The sequence below is a fragment of the Homo sapiens genome, chromosome 4, assembly GCF_000001405.40.
Source record: "Homo sapiens chromosome 4, GRCh38.p14 Primary Assembly".
NCBI classification, from domain to species: Eukaryota; Metazoa; Chordata; class Mammalia; order Primates; family Hominidae; genus Homo; species Homo sapiens.
The window spans coordinates 172,950,552-172,976,614 of NC_000004.12; the positions used below are offsets into that span (position 1 = coordinate 172,950,552).

General features: G+C 42.4%; 1 protein-coding gene across 7 annotated transcripts in view, besides 1 other annotated feature; it reads left to right on the top strand.

Annotated features, from left to right (window-relative positions):
• Nucleotides 1-26,063, top strand: part of GALNTL6 (polypeptide N-acetylgalactosaminyltransferase like 6) — a 1,228,156-nt gene that overhangs the window by 1,137,148 nt on the left and 64,945 nt on the right. For all 7 annotated transcript variants that reach the window (NM_001034845.3, XM_017008244.3, XM_011531993.3 and 4 more), the window contains one exon: nt 1,486-1,707. In NM_001034845.3, coding sequence (NP_001030017.2) covers nt 1,486-1,707 — 222 coding nt within the window. The remainder of the gene's footprint in view (nt 1-1,485; nt 1,708-26,063) is intronic.
• Nucleotides 24,878-25,378: an enhancer, noted in NCBI's record as "H3K4me1 hESC enhancer chr4:173896580-173897080 (GRCh37/hg19 assembly coordinates)". NCBI's record gives its function as "activates a minimal SCP1, AML or CMV promoter by ChIP-STARR-seq in naive H9 embryonic stem cells {active_cell/tissue: H9 hESC(naive)}" and the evidence as "EXISTENCE:reporter gene assay evidence [ECO:0000049][PMID:30033119]".

Here is a 26,063-nt window from a genome sequence, read left to right on the forward strand (position 1 = left end):
GACCTGCTGGGAGACACTGAACACACGGAGTGGATGGAGCGGAGTAAGAAAATGTACAGTCTCATTAGGAATGAGGTACCAATGATGGTGTCTCCAAATCCAGCAGACCTCTGGGCATAGTTCCAGGCCTGAATTAGGATTTTGTAGTCATTTTCAAGATAAAGCACTTTTCCTAAATATCACTAGCTTTTACTTTAGTCACCTATGTCTGGTTCTCATTAAAGTTCCTGACCATTGCAGTCATTTTATCTTCTAAGTGCAAGTGAGAAACAGGAGTGGGTCAATGCTCGCACCAACTGGGCACTTGAAAGAAGAATTTGAACAGGACACAAGAAGTAGAGACTAAGGGACACCAGCCTATGAAAATGTACTGCAGCACATTTAAGCTGGAGGCATCAAAACTGGTATCTTCTACACAAATGCAGCTGTTCTCTCTACTGTTTAGCACCATAGAGCCTGAAGGCACATCAGAGAGCATCTCATCTCAGCTAATGCCTTTCCTAAAGGCCACAGAAGAGTTCCATTAATGTGTGGCCAGCCCAACACCCAGGCTCTCCAATTTCCAATCCTGCACCCTTTTTGCAGCTAATAATAGCTCTACTATTTGTGGTACCTATTATGTGCCAGAGACTTATTCTAAGTGCTTTACGGGTGTTGCCTTACTTAATCCTACAGCCACCCCCGTGATGCAGGTATGTGCTACTGTTGCCATTTTCAGGTGAGGAATCTGATATCCAGCATGGATGAGTAACTTGCTCAATTCCAAAGCTGACAAAAGGGCTGAGCTTCCTACACTGAATCCATACACTCTCCTACACCTAAGATCCATGCTTATTCCCCACCACCAACCTTCTGCTTCCTTCACCCCAGGGACACATCTGTGGAAAAGACTGGCTACTTGGTGCTTCCTTTAGCCCCACTTCATCATGCAGTAAAGTACTAATTTCTGATTGATATCTGTGTTGCACACATAGAACATCAGAACACACAGTTTTAAATGTACAAATGCTCGGTGATCTCTCTAAAGTTGGGGGAAAAGAATAATAGCTTGTTTGTCCTCATTCTTTCCAAGATTCTTGTTTCTGGAAATGCTTTAAGCAATTTAATGCCTGAGAGGAATGTCATTCTCTCCAGTTTCAACACCTTTAGTTTAATGTAAAAAATAAAAAATGTATAATCATGAAATAACAGAGGGAATGAGAAAGCTGATGTAATAGTGAGCTGAATCTTTACTGGCTCTGATAAATTAACTACCAAATTGGCAATTGAACCCCATGCCAGAAGTAGAAATGTGTGTGAAGCCACAGGCTAATTATATCATACCCCTTGCTGTTACTAAAACTCTCATTGTTCATAAACCACCAACCAGGGCTGCCTGAGGTTGCCGCTATCTTTTCCTTTTCTTTTTTCAATTTCTGGTGCAACAAAAAACACCTTTTGAATGAATAAACCAATAAATGACATTTTTGTTTTCCTGCTGCACAGAACCTGAAGCGGGTAGCTGAGACCTGGATGGATGAATTTGCCGAGTACATTTACCAGCGGCGGCCGGAGTACAGGCATCTCTCCACGGGGGACATCTCTGCCCAGAAGGAGCTGCGCAAGCAGCTCAAGTGCAAGGACTTCAAATGGTTCATGGCTGCTGTGGCCTGGGACGTGCCTAAATACTACCCTCCAGTGGAGCCCCCGCCTGCTGCCTGGGGGGAGGTGAGGAAAGGTTGCCTGAAACCTGCGCCTACCTATGAGACTGTGTGCCTCCCCCATAGCCTCAGGTGGTGGGAGGGACTGCTAAAACCTTCACTTTTACCCTGCAGCCAAGTAGCATTCATTTAAATCATCTCAAATACATGAATGTTCAACCTCTTTTTAGCAATTACTAGATTTAGCTTCAGAGTTGATAGCCTAACCCAGAATTAGTGACCACTGTTGATTCCCCAGATGATTTTTGTTTGTTTGTTTTTGTTTTTGTTTTTGTTTTTTTTGAGATGGAGTCTCGCTCTGTCTTCCAGGCTGGAATGCAATGGCGTGATCTTGGCTCACTGCAACCTCCACTTCCCAGGTTCAAACGATTCTCCTACCCCAGCCTCCTGAGTAGCTGGAATTATAGGTGCACACCACGACACTCAGCTAATTTTTGTATTTTTAGTAGAGACGGGGTTTTGCCATTTTGGCCAGGCTAGTCTCAAACTCCTGACCTCAGGTGATCCTCCTGCCTTGGCCTCCCAAAGTTTTGGGATTACAGGCATGAGCCACTATGCCTGGCCATAAATTTTTAAAATACACCTAGAAAATATTTTTATTTGAGATTAGGGAAATCACCATCGGCGTTTGTAGAGAATTGATATATCTGTCATACAAGTGCGTAAATATGGGCACCTGATATACGTGATAAAAACCCTCTGTCCTGGTGCACAGCCTTGCTGCTATTGGTATATGCAAGTACAAGGCAATGAGGGGCCTGGCTATTTTCCCCTCCAGGCTATGCTATGCAGAGTCATGAAGAAATGCATTTCCATAATATACAGAACTGTGACACAGGCAGCCACATTGATTCTTTAAATAAGCACCAACCTTTCCACCTCTGAACACTTCTATTCAGTGGAAATAGAATGGAAAAAGCTAAATAGCCCCAGGTCCCAAATTTAAAATATCTATCTTTTGGCATAGAAAAGACTATTGCACTGGGTTCGGTTCCATTCAATACTGTTGCTATAGCCTTTCTCCGTAGAATAGAGTGTGCTAAAGCAGGACTAAAATTGGATAGGGTGGATTTATCCTAGCAATTCAACCTGCTCTTAACAGAGGATATCGGGGGAAATGCATGAAGGCTAGATGTTCACACCGTCCCACTTCTCCAGCCTTTCAGAAATCAAGAGTTGATTGTCTCGCATTGTGGAAGAGTATCATCAGTGTCCTTGGTTTTCTAGTCTCTGAAAGAAGATGCCATTGCCTAGATAGTGTCTGTGGCTGCAGAGCTCTGAGAAAAGGCTACCCCAGGGCATGGTAGGAGAGGCCAGAGGACTCAGGCAGTGTTCCTGGGTGAGCTGTTCCAGATCCCTGTAGAAGACGTGTTCAGCAAGTCACAGGTGCACTGCTTGTTGTGTTCAGAGGGTCACTCTTCATACCTGGGACACCCAGGATGAAGGAAAGAGTCAATCCTGCCACTACACCCTCCATCTCCTCATGGTTTTTGCATGTGTATGTCATCCTGACATTGTCTGCTTAATTCAAGTTATTAATTTGGTCTCATCCTTTGCATCTTAAACATTTTATTAAAACATCCCTAGAATATTAGTAATATTAGCCTGCTTGTATTAATTTAACTGTCTACCACAGACTCAATTCACAGCAGTGGAAATTTGAAAAGAATTTTCTTAATCCTAACGTGTTGGAAGGCATGGGAAGTGAGTTCCTTCTACAGTTTTTTTTGTTTGTTTGTTTTTTATGTATAAGGTTCTGTTTGTCATCTTTCTATGATGATTCAAATGCTGTCCTGCCTAGTGACTAAGAAATACACTTGAAGAGCCCACAGTATCATTGTGTGATTCACTACAGGGCTAAAATCTCATCAATCTTTTATCTGCCTTATGTGGATATGTGAATTTTTCTTCCTACCAGTTACTATGTTCTGCAAACTGCAACTGGTCACATTTTTCCCACAGTACCTGATTAAACCATAACCTGAATTTATAAGCACCTTTTCTAAATAGACTCAAATCTTCCACTCAGTTTCTAGGAAAGGTACAACCTTCCAGGAATAATCAAAATCAGAACCATCTTAAGCCCAAGTAGGCGATGCCAGTGTGTTTATATCTATTACCCTAGATTGCCTCATACTTTTACAACACTTGCCTTATCCCTGGAGACATTTGCATTCATTATTTCCGGCTTAAACAATGAGACGTTGAGAAGATCAGATTTTTTATTTTTCCCGAGACAAGGATTTGCTCTGTCACACAGGCTGGAGTGCAGTGGCATGATCATGGCTCACTGCAGCCTCAAACTCTTGGACTCAAGTGATCCTCCCACCTCAGCCTTCTGAGTAGCCCAGACTACACATTCACACCACCAGTCCCAGCTAATTTTTTAAATTTTTTGTAGAGACTAGGTCTCAATATGTTGCCCATGCTGATCTTGAACTCCTGGCCTCAATTATTCATCTCACCTCAGCCTCCCCAAGTGCTGGAATCGCAAGCATGAGCCACCACACCCGGCAACAGATTTTTTTTTCTTTTTTAACACAAATGGCAAATTTCTTTCCCCAAAGCCTCAGAACAGTAAACAAATAAAGGTCATATTTAGGTTTAGGAAAGAAGAAAATGGGGACATAGTTTATGGGCCAGTTGCATTCAGTTGAATTTGTTCGGTGAAGATGTGATGCATAGCAAGAATGAAGACATAGAGGATGGGAGGAAGGCAAGAAGAAAGGAAATCAATAAAAGACAAGGGTTTGCACTGTTAAATACTAGTTTTTAAAAGTATCTAATTCTCAGGGAGAATAGATCTCTGAGAGTATAAGTGAAACATGTACATTTAATGCAGGAGGCAAGTGAAGGATTTGAAATGCAGCTTAATCAAAATGAAATAATGAAAAAAGATTATTTTCTAACTCTAGGTGGGTAATAATATTTTTAAGAGTGGCTAGGCTGGGCACGGTGGTTCACGCCTGTAATCCCAGCACTTTGGGAGGCAGAGGTGGGTGGATCACCTGAGGTCAGGAGTTCGAGACCAGCCTAGCCAACATGGTGAAACCCTATCTCTACTAAAAATACAAAAATTAGCTGGGCATGGTGGCATGTGCCTGTAATCCCAGCTACTCGGGAGGCTGAGGTAGGAGAATCGCTTGAACCCGGGAGGTGCCACTGCACTCCAGCCTGGGTGACAGAGTGAGACTGTCTCAAAATAAAAAGAAAAAAAAAAGGATAAAAAATTATTAAAAGTGCAGAATATATGTGTTGAGCAACTTAATCTCTGACAAAAAAAAAGACTTTCAAAATGTTGACACATGCGATTTCTTTTGCCTTTCAGAGGATTTCTTAAAATAAGCTTTTTATTTTGGAATAATTTTAAATTTACATTCTTCTAATGTTAACATTTTATATTTACTTTCACTCGCGTCCCTGTGAAGACACCACCAAACAGGCTTTGTGTGAGCAACAAGGCTGTTTCTTTCACCTGAGTGCAAGTGGGCTGAGTCCGAAAAGAAGGGAGATAGGGGTGGGGCCGTTTTATAGGATTTGGGTAGGTAAAGGAAAATTACAGTCAAAGGGGGGGTTGTTCTCTGGCTGGCACGGGTGGGGGTCACAAGGTGCTCAGTGGGGGATCTTCTGAGCCAGGATGAGCCAGGAAAATGAATTTCACAAGGTAATGTCATCAGTTAAGGCAGGAACAGGCCATTTTCACTTCTTTTGTGGTGGAATGTCATCAAGTTAAGGCAGGAACCAGCCATCTGGATGTGTACGTGCAGGTCACAGGGAATATGATGGCTTAGCTTTGGCTCAGAGGCCTGACATTCCCATCTTCTTATATTAATAAGAAAAATAAAACAAAATAGTGTTGAAGTGGTGGGGCGGCAAAATTTTTGGGGGGTGGTATGGAGAGATAATGCGCGATGTTTCTCAGGGCTGCTTCGAGCAGGATTAGGAGTGGCGTGGGAACCTAGAGGGTGAGAGATTAAGCTGAAGGAAGATTTTGTGGTAAGGGGTGATATTGTGGGGTTGTTAGAAGAAACATTTGTCATATAGAATTATTGGTGATGGCCTGGATATGGTTTTGTATGAACTGAAAAACTAAATGGAATAAGACAAGGAGAAAAACAGGTATTAAAGGACTAAGAATTGGGAAGACCTAGGACATCTAATTAGAGAGTGCCTAAGGAGATTCAGCATAGCCCTGCCAGCAAAGATTATTTATTTACTTTAAGAGGGAGTCAAGAGTGGCGGTTTGGGGATAGCACCAGGAGATATCAGCTGTGATGGCTTGGAGAAGCAGTGAAAACCGGCAGTTTTTCTGAGAACAGTGAATAGGAGTATGACTAGACAGAAGACAGTAGGGATGACAAGTTTTTTGGGGCACAGTCCAAGTTGGTCTGGTGTCTGGAATGAGGCTGGGGCCTAATAAAAAGAAGCGTCTATACAGGAGCTCAAATGGGCTGTACCTTGTAGCATTCTGAGGACAGGCCTGAATTATGAGAAGGGAAAGAGGTAAAAGTATTGTCCAGTCCTTTTTAAGTTGGAGGCTGAGCTTGGTGAGGTGTGTCTTTAAAAGACCATTTGTCCATTCTACCTTTCCTGAAGATTGAGGACAGTAAGGGATATGAAGTTTCCACTGAATACCAAGAGCCTGAGAAACTGCTTGGGTGATTTGACTAGTAAAGGCCGATCTGTTATAGGACTGTATAGAGGTGGGAAGGCCAAACCGAGGAATTACGTCTGACAGAAGAGAAGAGATGACCGTGGTGGCCTTCTTAGACCCTGTGGGAAAGGCCTCTACCTATCCAGTGAAAGTGTCTACCTAGACCAAGAGGTATTTTATAGTTTCCTGACTCAGGGCATGTTGAGTAAAGCCAATTTGCCAGTCCTGGGCGGGAGCAAATCCCCGAGCTTGATGTGTAGGGAAGGGAGGGGGCCTGAATAATCCCTGAGGAGTAGTAGAATAGCGGATGGAACACTGAGAAGTGATTTCCTTGAGGATAGATTTCCATGATGAAAAGGAAATAAGAGGTTCTAAGAAATGGGCTAGTGGCTTGTAACCTACATGGAAGAGGTTATGAAATGATGACAGAATAGAATGGGCCTGTGTGGCTGGAAGGAGATATTTTCCTCGGTCTAAGAACCATTTGTCTTGTGTGGGAAGAGACTGATAGGTGGAAGTTTCAGCAGGGCAGCGGGGCAGTAGGTGGGAGTGGTCAGATGAGAAGGAGAAAAACTGAAAGTGAGGAATAGAAGTTGCAACGCTAGCTGCTTTTTTAGCTATCTTATCAGCATAAGCATTGTCCTGAGCGATAGGATCTGATGCCTTCTGATGGCCTTTGCAGTGAATGACTCTAGCTTCCTTTGGAAGTAAAGCGGCTTTGAGAAGCGTTTTTATTAAAGAGGCATTAATGATAGAGGACACTTGTGTAGTGAGAAAACCTCTTGCATGGTGGTGCAGGATATGGAAGGCATATTTAGAGTCAGTATAAATATTGACGTGTAGTCCTTTTGCAAGAGTGAGGGCTTGATTTAAGGCAATGAGTTCGGCTTGCTGAGAGGTAGTGGAGGGGGGCAGAGCAGTAGCCTCAATGATAGATGTGGAAGATAATATAGCATAGCCTGCCTTTGCTGGTGAGTGGTGATTAGGCCTGGTGGAACTGCCATCAATAAACCAAGTCTGTTCAGGGTGAGGAACATGAAAGAATATGGGGAAATGGAGTGAATGTCAGGTGGATTAGAGAGATACAGTCATGGGGGTCAGGTGTGGTATCAGGAATAATGTAGGAGGCCGGATTGAAGTCCGGGCCAGAAACAATGGTAACTGTGGGAGACTCAACAAAGAGTGAGTACAGCTGAAGGAGCCAGGGAGCAGAAAGTGTATGTGTCAGGTGTGAGGAAGAAAATAGATTTTGGAAGTTATGAGAACTGTAGAGAATGAGTTGAGCATAGTTTGTGATTCTAAGGGCCTCTAAAAGTATTAGGGCAGCATCAGCCGCTGCACGCAGACTTGAGGGCTAGGCAAAACAGTAAGGTCAAGTTGTTTGGATAAAAAGCCTACAGGGTGCGGTCCTGGTCCTTGTGTAAGAATTCCGACTGCACAGCCCTGCACTTTGGCTGTGGGTAATGGAAAGGGTTGGGATGAGTCAGGGAGAGCTAGGGTGGGGGTAGTCTCTAAAGCTGTCTTCAAGGAACAGAAAGAGGAGTGGGGAAAGGATTTAGGATCTGTGGGGTCAGCTAGGTTTCCTTTTGTGAGTTTATATAATGGTTTTGTTAGGATGGCAAAACCAGGTATCTAAAGTCGAAAGTATCCAACCATGCCTAAGAAGGAAAGGAGTTGTTGTTTTGTAGAAGGTGTTGGGGTTTGAGAGATCAGTCAGACATGATCGGCAGGGAGCGCACGTGTGTTTTTATGAGAATTATGTCGAGATAGGTAACAGATGAGGAAGAAATTTGGGCTTGACTGAAGTAATGGGGGCTGTCTGTGAAGCCTTGAGGCAGTACAGCCCAGGTAATTTGCTGAGCCTGATGGATGTCAGGGTCAGTCTAAGTGAAAGCGAAGAGAGGCTGGGGTGAAGGGTACAAAGCAATAGTAAAGAAAGCATGTTTGAGATCCAGAATAGAATAATGGGTTTGTGGAGGGAGGTATTTAGGATAGGAGAGCATATGGGGTTGGCACCATGGGGTGGATAGGCAAAACAATTTGGTTGATAAGGCACAGATCCTGAACTAACCTGTAAGGCTTGTCTGGTTTTTGGACAGGTAAAATCGGGGAATTGTATGGAGAGTTTATAGGCTTTAAAAGGCCATGCTGTAGCAGGCGAGTGATAACAGGCTTTAATCCTTTTAAAGTGCGCTGCGGGATGGGATATTGGCATTGAGTGGGGTAAGGGTGATTAGGTTTTAATGAGATGGTAAGGGGTGCATGATCGGTCACTGAGGAGGGAGTAGAGGTGTCCTATACTTGTGGTTTAAGGTGGGGAGATACAAGGAGAGGATGTGAAGGAGGCTTTGAACTGGGGGAAAAGGTGGCAATGAGGTGTGGCTATAGCCCAGGAATAGTCAGGGAAGCAGATAACTTAATTAAAATGTCTGGACCTAATAAGGGAGCTGGGCAGGTGGGGATAACTAAAATGAGTGCTTAAAAGAGCATTGTCTAAGTTGGCACCAGAGTTGGGGAGTTTTAAGAGGTTTAGAAGCCTGGCCGTCAATACCTACAACAGTTATGGAGGCAAGGGAAACAGGCCCTTGAAAAGAAGCTAATGTGGAGTGAGTAGACTCCATGTTGATTAAGAAGGGGATAGACTTACCCTCCACTGTGAGAGTTACCTGAAGATCGGCATCCTTGATGGTCTAGGGGGCTTCTGAGGCAATCAGGCAGCGTCAGTCTTCAGCCGCTAAGCTGAGAAGATCTGGGAAGGAGTCAGTCAGAGAGCCTTGGGCCAGAGTTCCAGGGGCTCTGGGAGTGGCTGCCAGGTGAGTTGAACAGTCCGATTTTCAGTGGGGTCCTGCACAGATGGGACATGGCTTAGGAGGAATCCTGGGCTGCGGGCATTCCTTGGCCCAGTGGCCAGATATCCAGCACTTGTAGCAAGCTCCTGGAGGAGGTGGGCCTGGAGGAATGCCTGCCTGCTGCGGTTTAGGCGTTTGGAAGTTCTTGTGTGCTGGAGATGTGGCTGGGGTTTGTCTCACAGTGGAGGGAAGGAATTGCAACTCAGAAATACATTGCTACTTGGCTGCCTCTACTCTATTATTGTACACCTTAAAGGTGAGGTTAATTAAGTCCTGTTGTGGGGTTTGAGGGCCAGAATTTAATTTTTGGAGTTTTATTTAATGTCAGGAGCAGATTAGGTAATAAAATAAAATGCATATTAAGAATAAGACGGCCTTCTGACCTTTCAGGGTCTAGGGCTGTAAAGCGTCTCAGGGTTGCTGCCAAACAAGCCAAAAACTGGGCTGGGTTTTTATATTCGACGAAAAAGAGCCTAAACGCTAACTGATTTTGGGAGGGGTCAGATAAAGAAAAAGGAGCATTAACCTTGACTATGCCTTTAGCTCCAGCCACCTGTTTAAGAGGAAATTGCTGGGCAGGTTGGGGAGGGCTAGTCACGGAACGAAACTGTAAGCCAGACCGGGTGTGAGGAGGGGAGGTGATAAAAGGATTATAGGGTTGGGGAGCAGAGGCTAAGGAAGAATTGGGACCTGGCTCAGCCTGGCGAGGAGCAGCCTGGGGAGGAGGGGAGAGGTCAGATGGGTCTGTAGAAAAGGAAGATTAGAAAGACTCAGCGACGCTTGGGGTTGGGATTGAGGGGACAGGCAGGAGGGAAAGAAGGAAGATTTGGGATAAGTCGCATTGGGAACAGAGACTAGGGAGGGAACAATGTGTAAAAGAATGCCTGGACACCAGGCACCTCAGACCATTTGCCCATTTTACGACAAGAATTATCTAGATCTTGTAGGATGGAAAAATCAAAAGTGCCATTTTCTGGCTATTTGGAATGACTGTCGAGTTTGTATTGGGGTCAAGTGGCATTGTAGAAGAAAATAAGGCATTTAGGTTTTAGGTCAGGTATGAGTTGAAGAGGTTTTACGTTCTTGAGAACACAGGCTAAGGAAGAAGGAGGAATGGAGGGTGGAAGGCTGCCCATAGTGAAGGAGGCAAGCCCAGAGAAAAGAGAGAGTAGAGACTTGGAGAGAAAGGGTGGGGGTGCTTGCCCTCCAGGAAAGTGGAGAAGGGGTAGAGACACGGGGAGAAGGGGTTGGGGGGTTCTTGCCCACCAGAAAAGCGGAGAAGGGGTAGAGACACAGAGAGAAGGGGTGTGGGGTGCTTGCCCTCCAGGAAAGTGGAGAAGGGGTAGAGACATGGGGAGAAGGGGTTGGGGGGTTCTTGCCCACCAGAAAAGCGGAGAAGGGGTAGAGACACAGAGAGAAGGGGTGGGGGGTGCTTGCCCTCCAGGAAAGTGGAGAAGGGGTAGAGACACGGGGAGAAGGGGTTGGGGGGTTCTTGCCCACCAGAAAAGCGGAGAAGGGGTAGAGACACAGAGAGAAGGGGTGGGGGGTGCTTGCCCCCCCAGGAAAGTGGAGAAGGGGTAGAGAGAGAGAAGGGGTCGGGGGGTTCTTGCCTCCCAGAAAAGCAGAGAAGGTGTAGAGACATGGAGATAAGGGGTTGGGGGTTCTTGCCCCCCCAGAAAAGCGGTACTTGCTGCTAAGGGTGAAGGACCAAGGCAGGCGTCCCCACGTGGTCAGACGCCTCTGAAATGTGGGTGAATAATCAGGCAGGCATCCCCACGTGATTACACACTAAGGGAAGACTGTCTTCCCAAGTCCGTGACCGGCACCAGAGTTTTGGGTTCACGGGTAAAACGTGTCTCCTTTGTCTCTATCAGAAAAGGAAAGAAATTGAAATTAAGAGAAGGGAGAGATTGAAAGATGGTGCCAAGATTGAAAGGAGAAAGAGGTTGAGGGATAGTGAGAGAGGCTGGAGAAGAGAATAAAGAGAGGCTGCTTACCAGATTTTAAATTGGTGAGATGTTCCTTGGGCTGGTTGGTCTGAGGACCAGAGGTTGTAGGTGGATCTTTCTCATGGAACAAAGAGCAGGAAGACAGGGGATTGATCTCCCAAGGGAGGTCCCCCGATCTGAGTCATGGCACCAAATTTCACGCATGTCTGTGTGAAGAGACCACCAAACAAGCTTTGTGTGAGCAACAAGGCTGTTTATTTCACCAGGGTGCAGGTGGGCTGAGTCCGAAAAGAGAGTCAGCAAAGGGAGATGGGGTGGTGCCATTTTATAGGATTTGGGTAGGTAAAGGAAAATTACAGTCAAAGGGGAGGGTTGTTCTCTGGCTGGCAAGGGTGGGGGTCACAAGGTGCTCAGTGGGGGAGCTTTTGAGCCAGGATGAGCCAGGAAAATGAATTTCACCAGGTAATGTCATCAGTTAAGGCAGGAACAGGCCATTTTCACTTCTTTTGTGGTGGAATGTCATCAGTTAAGGCAGGAACTGGCCATCTGGATGTGTACGTGCAGGTCACAGGGGATATGATGGCTTAGCTTTGGCTCAGAGGCCTGACATTTACCACATTAACTGTGGTATATTTAATCAAGCTAAGTAATTAACATTAGTATAATACTATTAACTAAACAAGACTTTATTCAGATTTCACTAGTTTTTTTTGCTAACGTCCTTTTTCTGTTCCAGGATCCAATCCAGTATCTGAAAGAGCTTTTTAGTTTCCTATAAACTTTAAATTAATTGTCAGAATGGGCGGAGTTCCTAAATAAATGTAATAAGTCAATTATTATTTTAGTAAGAAAGTGAAAAGGAGAATGCAGACTCGGTGGTTCTTTTTAAGCATTTATGGGAAGGAACCACAAACCTCCAGCAATGTAAACACAAGATTCCTTTATGGGAGATCTGGGCCAAGAAGCAGGGCAACTCACCATTTTATGCACTTGTACTTGGAACAGTTTTCCACCTGCTTGTCTGCGCCAGCCTGATTCTGGGTAAACAATGACGTGCTTAGGCAATTTTTGGCTCTGGTACTTGGAACTCAGCTTGTAAAGGATATGTTACAGACCATAAACAGCCTATAAACCGCCACTCATTTCCCTGACAAATTCAGCTGGATTACTGCACTTGTCTCCTGGCTCATCTCCCTGCTTCTGCCTGCCGCGCTTCGGTTTATTCTCAACACAGTCCACTTAAAACAAACTGGAGACGAGGCCACCACTCCTCCATTCAAGCTTTCACTGGCTGCCATCTATTTCTAGGTAAAAATGAAAGTCCTTACCTATAAGATTCTAAACAATCTGACCCCTGTTGTGTCCCCTCCAACCTCCTCTCTGACTCCTCACCCCCTGGCTTCCTCCTCTCAGGGCCCACTGTCCTCGTCACCAGTCTTCACACAGGCCAGGTCAGTCTGACCTCAGCACCTTTGCATTTACTATTCCTGCAGCTTAGAATCCTCCAGTCTCAGAAATCATATGGCTCCCGCCCTTACTTCCTTCTGGTCCTCACTCAAAAATTCATCTTCTCAGTAAGGTCTTCCCTAGTCATCCTATCTAAAATTGCAACAACACCCACACACATCCACATGCATACTTAAACACTCCCTACTCCCTTTCCTCCTTTATTTTTCTCCCTAGCATCCATCACTATATAACAAGCCATGTAATTTATTTTTTTATCATGTTTCTCATCTATCTCTCCCACTAGAAAGTAAACTCGGTGACACAAGGATTTTGTTGGTTTGTTGTGTTGCTACTGCTCTTTCGCAGAAAGACATAGTGTCTAGCATATAGTAGGTGCTTCATAAATATTTGTTGAATGAATGAAAGATGAATGAATGGGGGATCCTGGCTCCCTGTTGTCCCACCTGCCATTCACAGCTTTGCCCACACACCTGTGTGTGTGAAGCCACCCCAGGGCACACTAGACAGTCACTCCCTCCATGGCCACACAAAGTCCACTTCTTTGGAAAGCTCGGCCAGAAAGGCAGTTTGAGTAATGACTCTCAGGTAACTGATTCTCATGAACAGTCGGGTCTGTGGTCCATTTGATAGTTAAACAAGTTACAAAATATTCCGTTCTGACATCCTATGGGGAAGAAGGAGAAACTCCAAAAGTTAAAAGCCTCTGTTCAGCAATTTCCAAACTCTGCCTACCAGCTTCCTACTTAAAAGGCAGAAGAGATTACAGTCATATCTGATATAGCAGTACTCTCCAGAAGTCATTCCATCCTCTGGTAGGCAAGGAGAGTGGGTAGAGTGGGGAGGTGATGAGTCCCAGAGAGAATAAATAGGATTCTGAACCATGGAATAAATTGAACAGCCCTCAGTGCTGTTCAAATAGAAGCAATGTGCTTTCCCCCATGCTATGTTGGATAGGGTAAGAACAGGTTTAAAGTGGAAAACTATTCTTAAACCACTCACATATGGAGTGCCTCTTTTTGTGTCAAGATGCTAAATGAAAGAAACTGAATTCCCTATTATTTTCGCCTTCTCCTCCTTAGAATTCATGAATTTGCTAAAGTCATTTAGAGTGCTCCTTTATAGTCTAAAAAGAAGAGTTCTGCAGAATTCTAAATATCATGTGTAAGAAGGAATAAAAGATGTAAAATAGACAAACGTGTCTTTTCCAACCAGTGCCATAAATTCTTTTAAGAAGTGTCTGCTTACTGTCCTCAATGTGCCAATCTGGGTACATCCATTTGTCACCTTGCGATTGTGCAAACTTTTTAAAAAATCTTTATTTTAAAAATTCATGTCAATACCGAACTACCTAGGCTGTTTATTTGAATTCCTTCCTCAAGATTAATGTCACCCCGAATTGTGGAACATTCACAAAGACAGGCACCCTAAATAATTCCAGTTCTCCTCTTCTGCTGCAGGCTGCTGTTCTTAACTTCTTTTCACCTGCTTGCTTCTTTCTTCTAATGTTCTGGCAGTGCACAAGGCTTTTCAGGTTTCTCCCTATCAGCTTACACGAAAGGAAGTTCAACACTAGGAGATGCATTATCTCAAAGACCATCTGAGGATGCGATGTTGTCTCTTTCAAAGAAATTCTGTGTGAGTGCTGCTGATGTGTGATGCAGGAGTAAAAAGCAGGTGCTTTCTGCACAACGAGCGAGGCTCCCTCACATTCTTTTGGGAGAGCCAAAGCCAACTTTCCTGAATTCCCCTGCAATCTAGTCTCACAACCAGGAAAGCTGCAAAGTGAGATTGTCCTGCTATTTCCCTGGCAACTACGCGGCAAACTGCCTCTGCCCTTTAAGTGCTATATCTCATCAACCCAGATCTTTAAATTAAGCACTCATTCAGAGATGATTTATCATTCAGACTGTATTAGACTTGACTTGATCTGTCATTTATTTTCTCAGGCAGAGGCAGTGCTGGTACACTATGCTAAGTCATCTCTCTGGGGCTCAAAAACGAGGTTGGGAAAAATGTAAGAACACATAAAGAACTGCATTACCCTCTCAAATATTTCTGTGCTTTCTGAGTTTTCAACATTGAGACAGGGCTATGAAGACAAACCTAAAGTGTCCTATAATAAACACAATTTGTCCAGGCGCAGTGGCTCATGCCTGTAATCCCAGCACTTTGGGAGGCTGAGGCAGGAGGATCACAAGGTCAGGAGATTGAGACCACCCTGTGAATGGTGAAACCCCGTCTCTACTAAAAATACAAAAAATTAGCTGGGCGTGGTGGCAGGCGCCTGTAGTCCCAGCTACTCGGGAGGCTGAGGTGGGAGAATGGCGTGAACCCAGGAGGCAGAGCTTGCAGTGAGCTGAGATTGCGCCACTGCATCCAGCCTGGGTGACAGAGTGAGACTCTGTCTCAAAAAAATAAATAAAATAAAAATTAAAAGTAAAAATTAAAAAAAAAAAAACAATTTTAATTCCACATTCCCAGACGAGCAAATTGGACATCTTAGTGCCCCAACAGTGGCAATTTAATTCAAGTCATAACAGAATTAGAGGTGCTTCCGAGTTAACCAATATTTTTTTTCTTCTCCTGTATGGCATATATAAATTTGGCAAACAAAACATTCTGTCTTATCTTTCTGTTTATTTTATAAACATATGTATTTGTATTTGATATATGTTAACACACATAAATATATACTTTTTTGGATTTGTGTGACAGGAGTCCATGACATTTTAAGTGTATGTTAGCCTACTCATCAATTCATCTTAGTATTTAATTTTCAGTGAAAATTAGTGCCTTTCTAATTCCAAGAATGACACTAAATTAATAGAATTTAAATAGAATGAATAAAATTAATCTTTGCCAAAATAAATCAGTTGGGAGAATGTTAGACTGAAAAATTAAGAGAATTGAATAGAATTCACTGAACTATCATAGCAAAATTTCTAATCCACAGCCTTAGAAAGTTAGCATATGTACAAAAATTCAATATAATTTTTCCGGTCTCGGACATAGGAATACCTCCACCCTACCAATGGGGTGACATAGTGACCTGCTGGCTTCTGTGATAACTAAGAGTGGCCTCTACAGTGGCAACTGCCCTCAACTTGCCTTAAACATCCAGTAACCATCCACAAGCTGGTGGACAAGAATAGCGCAGCCAATTAAAAAGGAGCAACGGAGGTTCCTGGGGTCCTGGGATGAAATTTTTTAAAACAGGGAGTCGATCTTTTTTTTTTTTTGAGATGGAGTTTTGCTCTGTCACGCAGGCTGGAGTGCAGTCGCATGATCTCGGCTTACTGCAACCTCTGCCTCCCGAGTTCAAGCGACTCTCCTGCCTCAGCTTCCCAAGTAGCTGGGATTACAGGCATGCGCCACCACGCCCAGCTAATTTTGGTATTTTTAGTAGAGACGGAGTTTCTCCATGTTGGCCAGACTGATCTTGAACTGCCCTCAGGTGATCCACCCGCCTCGGCCTCCCAAAGTGCTGGGATTACAGGCGTGAGCCACCGCGCCCAGCCCAGGGAGTCAATTCTAAGACTAATGCCAGTATGCATTATTGGGCTTGAAATTTGATTTTAATCATCTGCAGGCAGGCAACAGTTAAAGATGAGAGCCAATATTCCTCTAAGTGTCCTTGAAATGTAGTGAGCCGCTGTGTTAGCAGCAGGCCACCGTGGGCACTGCCCCAAGCTCTGAGAAGTGTGGTGACTGTGCCGCTAAAAGGTAAGTTGTCTCTTACATTCACAGGAGAGACCTTTTTAGCAACCTCAAGGTCATCGGTCAGTCTTAGATTTTGTAAGCAACCCAAAACATAGCTACCTCTGTCGTGGTTTGGGAGGTGTGCTCCCCATCGGCCTCCGTGGCTAAATTCTTTCTCCGTGTTTCATTTTCTCACAATTATCTCCGTGTCTTTGATCCACTTGATTGCATTTCCTCCTATTGACTTTAGGAGATGCAGGAATTAACGTTTACCTTATATTTCCAAAGTTCTCTGTTTGTGTAATTGATAACCTAGTTGTATTTTGCTCAGCCTTCACTTACATTTTCCCTTAGACCTTTTCCTTTTTATAGAGCTTGCATGGCTCTTTGTGTTGAGATTTTATTGCCCAGTCGAAATGATGCCTGATCAATTTCTGGAAAGGATGGCCTATTGTTTAGGCCCATTCCAAAGAGAAACTAAAATAACAAGATAATCTCAGGAGGAGCTTAATTTTCTATACCAATCTCTAGCACAGGAAGGACAAATCAGCTTTTTCAAGCTTGTTTTAGACTCAAGTCTTCCAGAACTAATCATACACATTCAAACTCTTTGCCTATGCTTTTTTTTTTGTCAGAATTGCATACAAATTTGTAGCAAATACAGAAGTCTTCCATTATCCATGGTCTCACTTTCTGCACTTTTGCCCAACTATATTATGAAGTCCCAACTATAATATTAGGGGACTTCATGATATTATATTATTTTGGAACAGAGAGAGAGAGAGACCACATTGACATAACTTCATTATAATGTAGTGCTATAATTGTTGTATATTATTATAGTTGGTATTAATCTCTTACTGTGCCTAATTTATAAAGTAAACTTTAACATAGGTACGTATGCATAAGAGAAAACATTGTATCTGTAGGGTTTGATACTATCTGTGGTTTTAAGCATCCCTGGGGGTTTGGAATATATCCTCCAAGAATAACGGGGGACTACTGTAGTTTTGTTTTGAATTTCAATACTCAAGTACTTCCCTGTTGAAAATGATGGAATGATGCCAGAAATAGAAAAGCTACATTTTCTACAATATTCTTTACTTAGAATATATTAGCATTTCTGATGCTAAAAGCATGGCAACGCCATGCTTTTGTTTAATCATCAAGACCAGACAGAACATTGAGGATAGCAAAAGAAAGAAACAAACAACATGGACATGATCTTACATAAAACTGATGACAAGAAATCCCTCAAGTACTACAGAACATAGGTTAGTGTCACCAAAACATCAGACAGCAGCAGATCCAGTGTGGGGCCAGGAGAGATGAAGAATTGGTAGAAAAGAAAAAGGGGAGTACTGCTACTTCTCCAAGAAGAGTACTCAGAAATCAACAACAAGCATTCACGCCCAATAGGAGAAGAGCCTTTCCAGAACAGGAATGAAAGCAATCAAATCTGCACCTTACCAGTGGAATTAAAAGACCCTCTCACAGGCTCCAAGCTGAGGCCAATGCAAAGAGACCATAGGGAACCAGTAATGTAAACCATGCTAACGCAGAGTTACCCTGCATATATCTGAGAAACACTCCAAAGTACTACCTTCTGGAAAGACAGAGACTCATCCTCTCCCCTCCTCCCTCTACAAAAAAAGAATAAGAAATCTGCTGTGAATTCAATCTAAAATATAACACTGAGGAAGCCAGCAAGACAAAAGCTTCCAAACCAGAGAAGGAGGTATCAGAGATAGATCTCAGAAAGTACAGAATGACAAACACATTCAAAGGTAACAATACTGCTTTGAAAGGAAAGACCTTTAGAACTCTAGACAACACAGAGTTAGAGCAGGAAGTTTTTGTGAACCAGGCAGAGCCCTAAGAGACAGAGAAGTGCCCCTATAAAAAGGCCATTTTTTTAATACTTCACAGTAACAACAGAGAAGAGAGCCCTACACAAGAATCTTCCTCTAATAGTCCAAGAAAATTATCTCATTTATATATGAGATTGTTCATATATGGAAAATAAAAGCAGTTTACAATAAAACCCCATGCTGAGACAAGGATAAAGATAAGAATTAATCAAATATAGTTCCAACACATAAAAATATACTACAAAAGTGGCTATAAAGAAGATGAAAACTACAACATTAGATTTCAAAATGAGCTAAAACAATCTTAAAACTAATCAAAGCTTGAAAGAACCATACAAATCAGAATTAGAACTGCTCAGAAATAAGATGACTAGAATGATATGAAACATCATTTTATGGAAAGAGAACTGAGAAAACTCAGGGATGAACTAGAAAAGAAAGAAACAGTATTTCAGAAATGAAGGGTATATTAGAAGAAATAAAAGGACAATAAGAGACCATGGAAGGCACAGTAAGAGAAACTGAGGTTAGAAGGGAGAATGAAACTAATAAACCAGACACAAAGAAAAGAGAACAAAAAGAATTTGTCAATGATTTGGAACAATAAGTGAAGGAGATTCAACATAAAATTCCCAAAAGAAGGAAGCCCTCTGAGAAGAAAAAACAACTAATACATAAAACTATAATTCAAAGAAACCTTTTCAAAATAAAAGATTTGAATCTATGTATTAAAAGGACCATCTGGGAAATCCAACTAAGAACCATCAACACTGAAACACTTTCTAATAAAATGGTTGTATTGTTAAAACAAGAAAAAAAATAGCATCCAAGCAAAGAATGAATCAGACTTTGAAGTATACACATTTTGTACCAGAAGACAATGAAGCAGTAGTTGTAAAGATGCTCAAGATAAGAAAATACAAGCCAAAGATTTTATATCCAACCAAACTATCCCTCAAGTATGAAGGTGGGTGCTATGATTTGAATTTGTCCCCCAAAGTTCATGTGTTGGAAACGTAATCGTCAATGCAACAATGTTGAACAGTAGGATGTTTGAGAGGTGATTAGGTCATGAGGGCAAAGCCGTCATGAATGCATTGATGCTATTATCACATATCGGGGGAACCAGCCCCCAATATTTCAATGTAGTTTATTTCTATTTTCCCTAAGTGTCAGCTGGTCTGAGAAATAAAGAGAAAAACCACAAAGAGAGGAATTTTACAGCTGGGCAGCCAGGGGTGACATCACGTATTGGTAGGTCTGTGATGTCCCCCAAGCCACAAAACCAACAAGTTTTTATTAGGGATTTCAAAAGGGGAGGGTGTGTACGAACAGGGAGTAGGTCACAAAGATCACATGCTTCAAAGGGCAAAAAAGGAGAACAAAGTTCACATGCTTCTAAGGCCGATAAAGATCACAAGGCAAAGGGCAAAGCAAGATCACAAGGCAAGGGCAAAACTAGAATTACTGATGAGGGTCTATGTTCAGCTGTGCATGTATTGTCTTGATAAACATCTTAAACAACAGAAAACAGGGTTCGAGAGCAGAGAACCAGTCTGACCTCAAATTCACCAGGGCAGGATTTTTTCCCCACCCTAATAAGCCTGAGGGTACTACAGGAGACCGGGGTGTATTTCAGTCCTTATCTCACCACATAAGACAGACAATCCCAGAGTGGCCATTTATAGACCTCCCCCCAGGAATGCAATTCTTTTCCTAGGGTCTTAATATTTAATATTCCTTGCTAGGAGAAGAATTCAGCGATATCTCTCCTACTTACATGTCCGTGTATAGGCTCTCTGCAAGAAGAAAAATATGACTATATTCTGCCCAACCCTGCAGGCAGTCAGACCTTTGGTTGTCTTCCCTTGTTCCCTGAAAATTGCTGTTATTCTGTTCTTTTTCAAGGTGCACTGATTTCATATTGTTCAAACACACATACTTTACAATCAATTTGTACAATAGTGGTCCTGAGGTGACGTACATTCTCAGCTTACAAAGATAACAGGATTAAGAGATTAAAGTAAAGACAGGCATAAGAAATTATAAGAGTATTATTTGGGAACTAATAAATCTCCATGAAGTCGTCACAATTAATGTTCAGAGATTGCAGTAAGGACAGGTGTAAGCAAATATAAAAGTATTAATTTGGGGAACTGATAAATGTCCATGAAATCTTCACAATTTATGTTCAGAGATTGCAGTAAAGACGGGGTAAGAAATTATGAAAGTATTAATGTGGGGAGCTGATAAATGTCCGTGAAATCTTCACAATTTATGTTCCTCTGCTGGGGTTCCAGCCAGTCCCTCTGTTCAGGGTCCCTGACTTCCTGCAACAATCACAGGAGTGGGTTATTGTGGGAGCAAGCTTCTAATAAAAGAATGAGTTTGGCTCCCTTCCCTCTTTCTGTCACCCCCATAGGATGATGCAGCAAGAAGGGCCTCATTGGATGCAGCCCCTCAATCTTGGACTTCCCAGTCTCCAGAACCATGAGCCAAATAAATTTGTTTATTAAAAATTATAGTCTGTGATATTCTGTTATAGCCGCACAAAACAGACTAAGACACAAGGCCATCAAAAAGCAGTTATAAATATTCAAGAACTCTGGGATTATTTTTACCAAAAGCCTTTCTGAGCAATCTGCTGGAGAAGGAGCATTAGAAAACCAAGAGCTGCTTGAAGAAGCTTGTTGCAGGCTCTGGTAGAAATTGGCTACAGGATGGAGGAATATACAAATTATATATAATCTGACAATGTAGAAATAATACAAGTAACAAGTGGGGAAAGTGAGTGGAAAGCAGAATACGTTTGCTGATTGTCGCATAGGCATTAACCAGGAGTAAAACAGTATCATCTATGTTTAGACACTGGGGAGGATGGAAGAAAAGCAGTAATAGTTATAGCCAACTTTAGTATTGCTTAGAGAAAGGTAGAGTTAGGCATTAATTTAAAAAGAGAAGCTTCAGCTATTATAAATAATATTAGTGTAAAGGCAAGAAGTGGAACAAAAACACAAACCATATTAAATACTAAAGATTGGAAAGAGAAAACAGGCCATATGGGAAAAGACCTTCTAGATAACAGTAAATTATGTAATAAATCAGTATGTCAGAGCTGAGATCAAACATATAAATCCACAGAAAGAAAAAGATTCAGATTGACTAAAAAGGCAACTCTCTCTGCTGTATATGAGACATACCTAAGTCAAAATGATAAAGAAACATTAAAAATTAAAGAATATGCATAAATATGCCAGGCAAATTTAAGTAATAAGAAAGAAGGGTTTGAGATCTTGATAGGAAGCAAGGTAGAATACAGAGAGAAAAAAAGTCAAAAAGTTAAAAGAGACTGAGAAAGACATTATAATATCAAAGACTGCAATTCATTGAAAACAACTTACATAAGGCAGAAACTGCTAAAAATCTAAGGAGAAACAGAAAGAAACATGCTAATAATAGAACCTTAACACACCTCTCTTGATCCAAGAATGAATAAGTGGACCAAAATGAATAAGGATGTATAGAACCTAAACCATGTCATCAATAATGTAGATCTAATATACCTATCTAACTCTAAAGCATTTTTGGAATTTACTTTCCTTTCAAATGCACAAATTTAAAAGTATGTTAATGTTATAAACAAATAAGATTTTTGAACACATATCAAAAGATATCTAAGCCTAAAATTAAAGAAACAAATACCCTACAATCTTAAACTTGAATTAGAAATTTCAACATCAGCTACTTTCGGAAAATAGCCACATTCTAGCTTTGTCCACTGAAAAAGTCTAGAAATAACTTCAATCCAATCAGTGAGCACACCTAGCTCTCAATTGTGGTCTCTAAATAGAATTGTTCACAAATAGAACTAAAGATTCATGAAGAAATAGCTGATTCTAGTTGTGGGGCAGGAAAGGTAGACGGTGGGCTGAGATAGTTTGTTACTCTAGAAAGTAGAAAGGGAAGAAAGCTTTCAAAGGCTGGTGGAGGTCATGTCAAAAGGACATGGGAGTCAGCTAGAAGGGGATCCCACTTGCCATAGATGAGACAACATGAACAATAAAAAAGTGACCCCATTAATTAAAACAAATTGAATATACAAAATGTTGTAAATTTAAAATGATATTTTTTAAAAGGGAGTTAGGAGAGAAAGAAAAATAAAATAAAAGTCACTGGGCACCAATGGCAGTTGCTTGGGCACCAAATCATGACTCTAGAAATTGAGATTTAAAGGGAAACAAGCATTTGTCTGGCTTTTCTGGTATAATGTGCATTTCAGGATGTCCAAAGAGCTCTGTAGTTGAGGGATTTTATACAGATGCTCAGATAATAAATTCAAAAGGAAAGAATTTTCTAAATCAACATTTTGCAATTCCTGATGCAATAACTGATTAAAGAAATGGTCCTCATTAGATAATAAAACCTTAGATGAAGTATTGATGATAAACTTCACAATAAAATTATCAAGCTACCATCACCTAAACCCACTGATCAATTTTAGCATCACTGAATCATACACATTCTGGTATGATATGATGCAACGTGAAAGCATTTTAGACAAGCCAGGAAATCAAGAACCATGCCTGAAATATTCTTTTTATAAAACCAAAAGAACAGCTAACTGAATTTAATCAAGTCTTTAACTTCAGTCTATAAGAAATTCAGAAGTTGAGGGAAACTTGAATAGCACCTCAAGCCAAATCTAGAATGTAGGAATCTAATTTAGTCAATAAGTCCGTGGCAGAGAGAAAAGAGGAGATAGGAGGAACTGTTCTAGATTACAAGATACAAGGCTGAAGTACAATAAAATGAAACCTGTTTAAATCATAAATATTATATATGCTATGATTTCATATAATCATATATTCTACTAGTTCAGTTAATCATGGAATAAGTGAAAAGAGATATTTTAGATAACCAGAGGAATGTAAATATGGAGCAGATACTGGATGATAGTAAGTATTAAGTAGTTATTGTAAATTTGTGGATACGTAAGAAAATGGTTTTTTCTCTCTTCCTCTCTTTGCCTACCACTTTCACGCTTTCTCTCTCCCTCTGACTCCGTCTTTTTCACTTTGAAAAGCTTGCTAAAGTATTAGGAGTGAAAGGACATGCTGCATGGTATTGACTTCGAAACGCTCCAGTAAAACAGAGAGAGATTGGGAAATGTATAGATGAGGAAGTACGTAAAATAATGATGGTGTTCAAAGCTCAATGATTGGCTCATAAAAATGTTCATAATAAATGTATTTTTTAAATGAAATGCCTTTGAAGGTATGTGGGAACATAATAACTATAAGAAAGACAAAGTATACACATGCTTTTTGGTGATATTGTAGGTAGCTAGGTATCAGTATTTTTATTGTACTTATGCCCTACAGCTAAAATAATTATATTGAAATACATCACCATATCCTGTCATGTTGAAATGGCATAGTGCCACAGTAACAAAAAATTTCATTCAAAGTTTATATTTAGGATATGTATTTGTTCTATCTTAGAACTGTTGTGAAAAAACATGAGACAAGATGCTGTATAATAGACGAGCAGATGGCACCTTTCTGTCTACCTCTCTTCCTCTTTCTCTCTCTCTCTCCCCCATTTCTCAGTGTTGGAGCACTGATTATTAGTTACCTAGAGTACTTTCCTCTTTCTCACCAATAAATAAAATAACTTTTGAAATTATACAATTAGTAAAATTTATGGACTAATTCATATTTTCAAAATGCTTACTGTAATTAGTTTAATTCTGAAAACGTGTATGAAACATATGACCCAATTATTCATCATTTAACTAGATAGCAGTAGAGGCCACACTGGTGTCATGGGATCCTTGGGGTGTTGTTTTGCCAGCCAGAAGCCTCTGTGGTATCTTTGGTAGAGTTTTTACTCGGGCCCCCTGGGCTCATTCCACCCACTCAGCCTGGCAGTCTGCACTCGGTTCATCCTACCAGCCTGAATCCCATGCCTGTCAAGGGCGAGCCAAGTGCAGACTGGTGAGGGGTGTGTGAGTGAGTACAGGGTCTGGCCACTGTGTAAAGCCAGGCATGCCGGCTGCAGCAGGGCAGGCAGCTCCAGGCACCGGCACGGACACTGGCTCCCTGCAAGGCTGCAGCTGCACCAGGCATACCACGACCAGCTTCTACTGTGGGCACCAGGGAACACAGTGATGCTCAGAAGCCTGGAGACACCAGGAACCACAGAGCTCCAAAGAGGGTGTCACAGCCCTGGCTTGGGGAGCTCCTATGTCTGGGATCCCCAAAGGACTGCAGCTCTTCCCTCTCTTCTCTCCTTCTGGTTGCCCCCACGTGGCAAGCAGGGGATGGGTGTGTGTTTCAACCATTTGTGTTACAGCTCTTTTAGTCCCATCTTTTGGCAGGTCTTGAGTTTTTGTCCTGCATCCAGGAAGAATGAGGTGTGTGGACAACTGCAGGGTGAGCAAGGTGAAGAGCTGCTTTATTGAGCAACTGTACAGCTCTCAGGACACCCAAAGTGAGTAGCTCCTATCTGCAGGCAGGTCATCCCACTGAGTTTGCAGCATTTAGTGGAGAGGAGACCCAGAGTGGGCAGCTTCTATCTGCAGGCAGGTCGTCCCATCAAGTTGAGGAGACCAGAATTGGGTAGCTCCTTCCCACAGCTGGTAGTCCCCACATCTGTCTGAGTCTGGCTGAGTCCAGGGGTTTTTATGGACGTCAGAAGAAGTGCATGCTGATTGGTCCATGGGAGGCCATGGGTGGGCCCAGAAATGGCACTAAATGGCACCATAAGTTCTCATTCTGGTCCGCTGAACTGACAGCCTGGCCACCAGGCTTCAGGGAGTCCCTGGTTTGAAGGTGGGGCTTCACCAGGGACCTGTCCCTTTCTACCCAGGAGCCTGTCCCCTGCCGTCATCCACAGTGCCCAGGCTGTTTGTTCTGAGGGATGCCTGCAGGTACAAGCTGAGCCATCCTCAGCCCCTTGCCTCAGCCCCCCTTCCATGCTCATCGGCGAGGGGGCTAAGGGAGGAGGAGCCTGGCATGTCAGTGCCATCCGGAGCACACACACACCCAGCCAGGTCACAGCCACCCAGGCTCAGCCTCAACTTTGCTTCGAAATCTGAGTGGGCAACAGGATCGGGGAGAAGCCAGACAGCAGGAGTAGGCACTTCGGAGCCTGCAGGGTTGGGGCGGAGGTGGCTTCCCAGGCCCCTAAGAGTGCAGGGATGCACAGGTCCACAGCTACAACTGGGTTGCTGCAGCTGCGCCAGGGAGGTCGGAGCTCCGCCCGCTTAACTCGGAAGGGGGCGGAGCTCCAACCTGTTCCTGGCTCCCACCAGCTCCCTGGAGTGCCCACCACCTGCCACACCTCCCCCGCTGTAGCTAGCTCCTTGACAGCCACTGCTCCAAGTGGACACCTCTGCCATCACTGGTATTTAAAAAGGAGAGAGAAAATTAAAAAGAATTGCTACTGAACCAGGTTGAGGAGATCCTATTCACCACAACCAAAATTACTATGTAGCAATCTAAGTTAGTCATTAAAAGATCAAAATAATCAGTCATTTTCTGGTATAAAAAATTCTATTTAGAAGAAGTTAAGTAGCTAAAGCTCATAAAATAGATTTTTAAATTATAAAATTATTTAAAACTCTAAGACATAGAAGTCACATAACTGCAAGATTTAAGCATGTGTCTAAGGCAGGGCTTCTGAAATTCACATAAGTATATCCCTGCAGGGGTACTCAGCTGCATGCCCAGAAGTACAGTACGTGGGCCACAGGAAACCACAGCATTTCTTTCCAGAACATCAACTGTACTTAAAATTTAGTAGGCAAAAAACATCATATGAAAGTAACATTGACACAAAATAGATCAGTTACAGAATAGAATGCACAC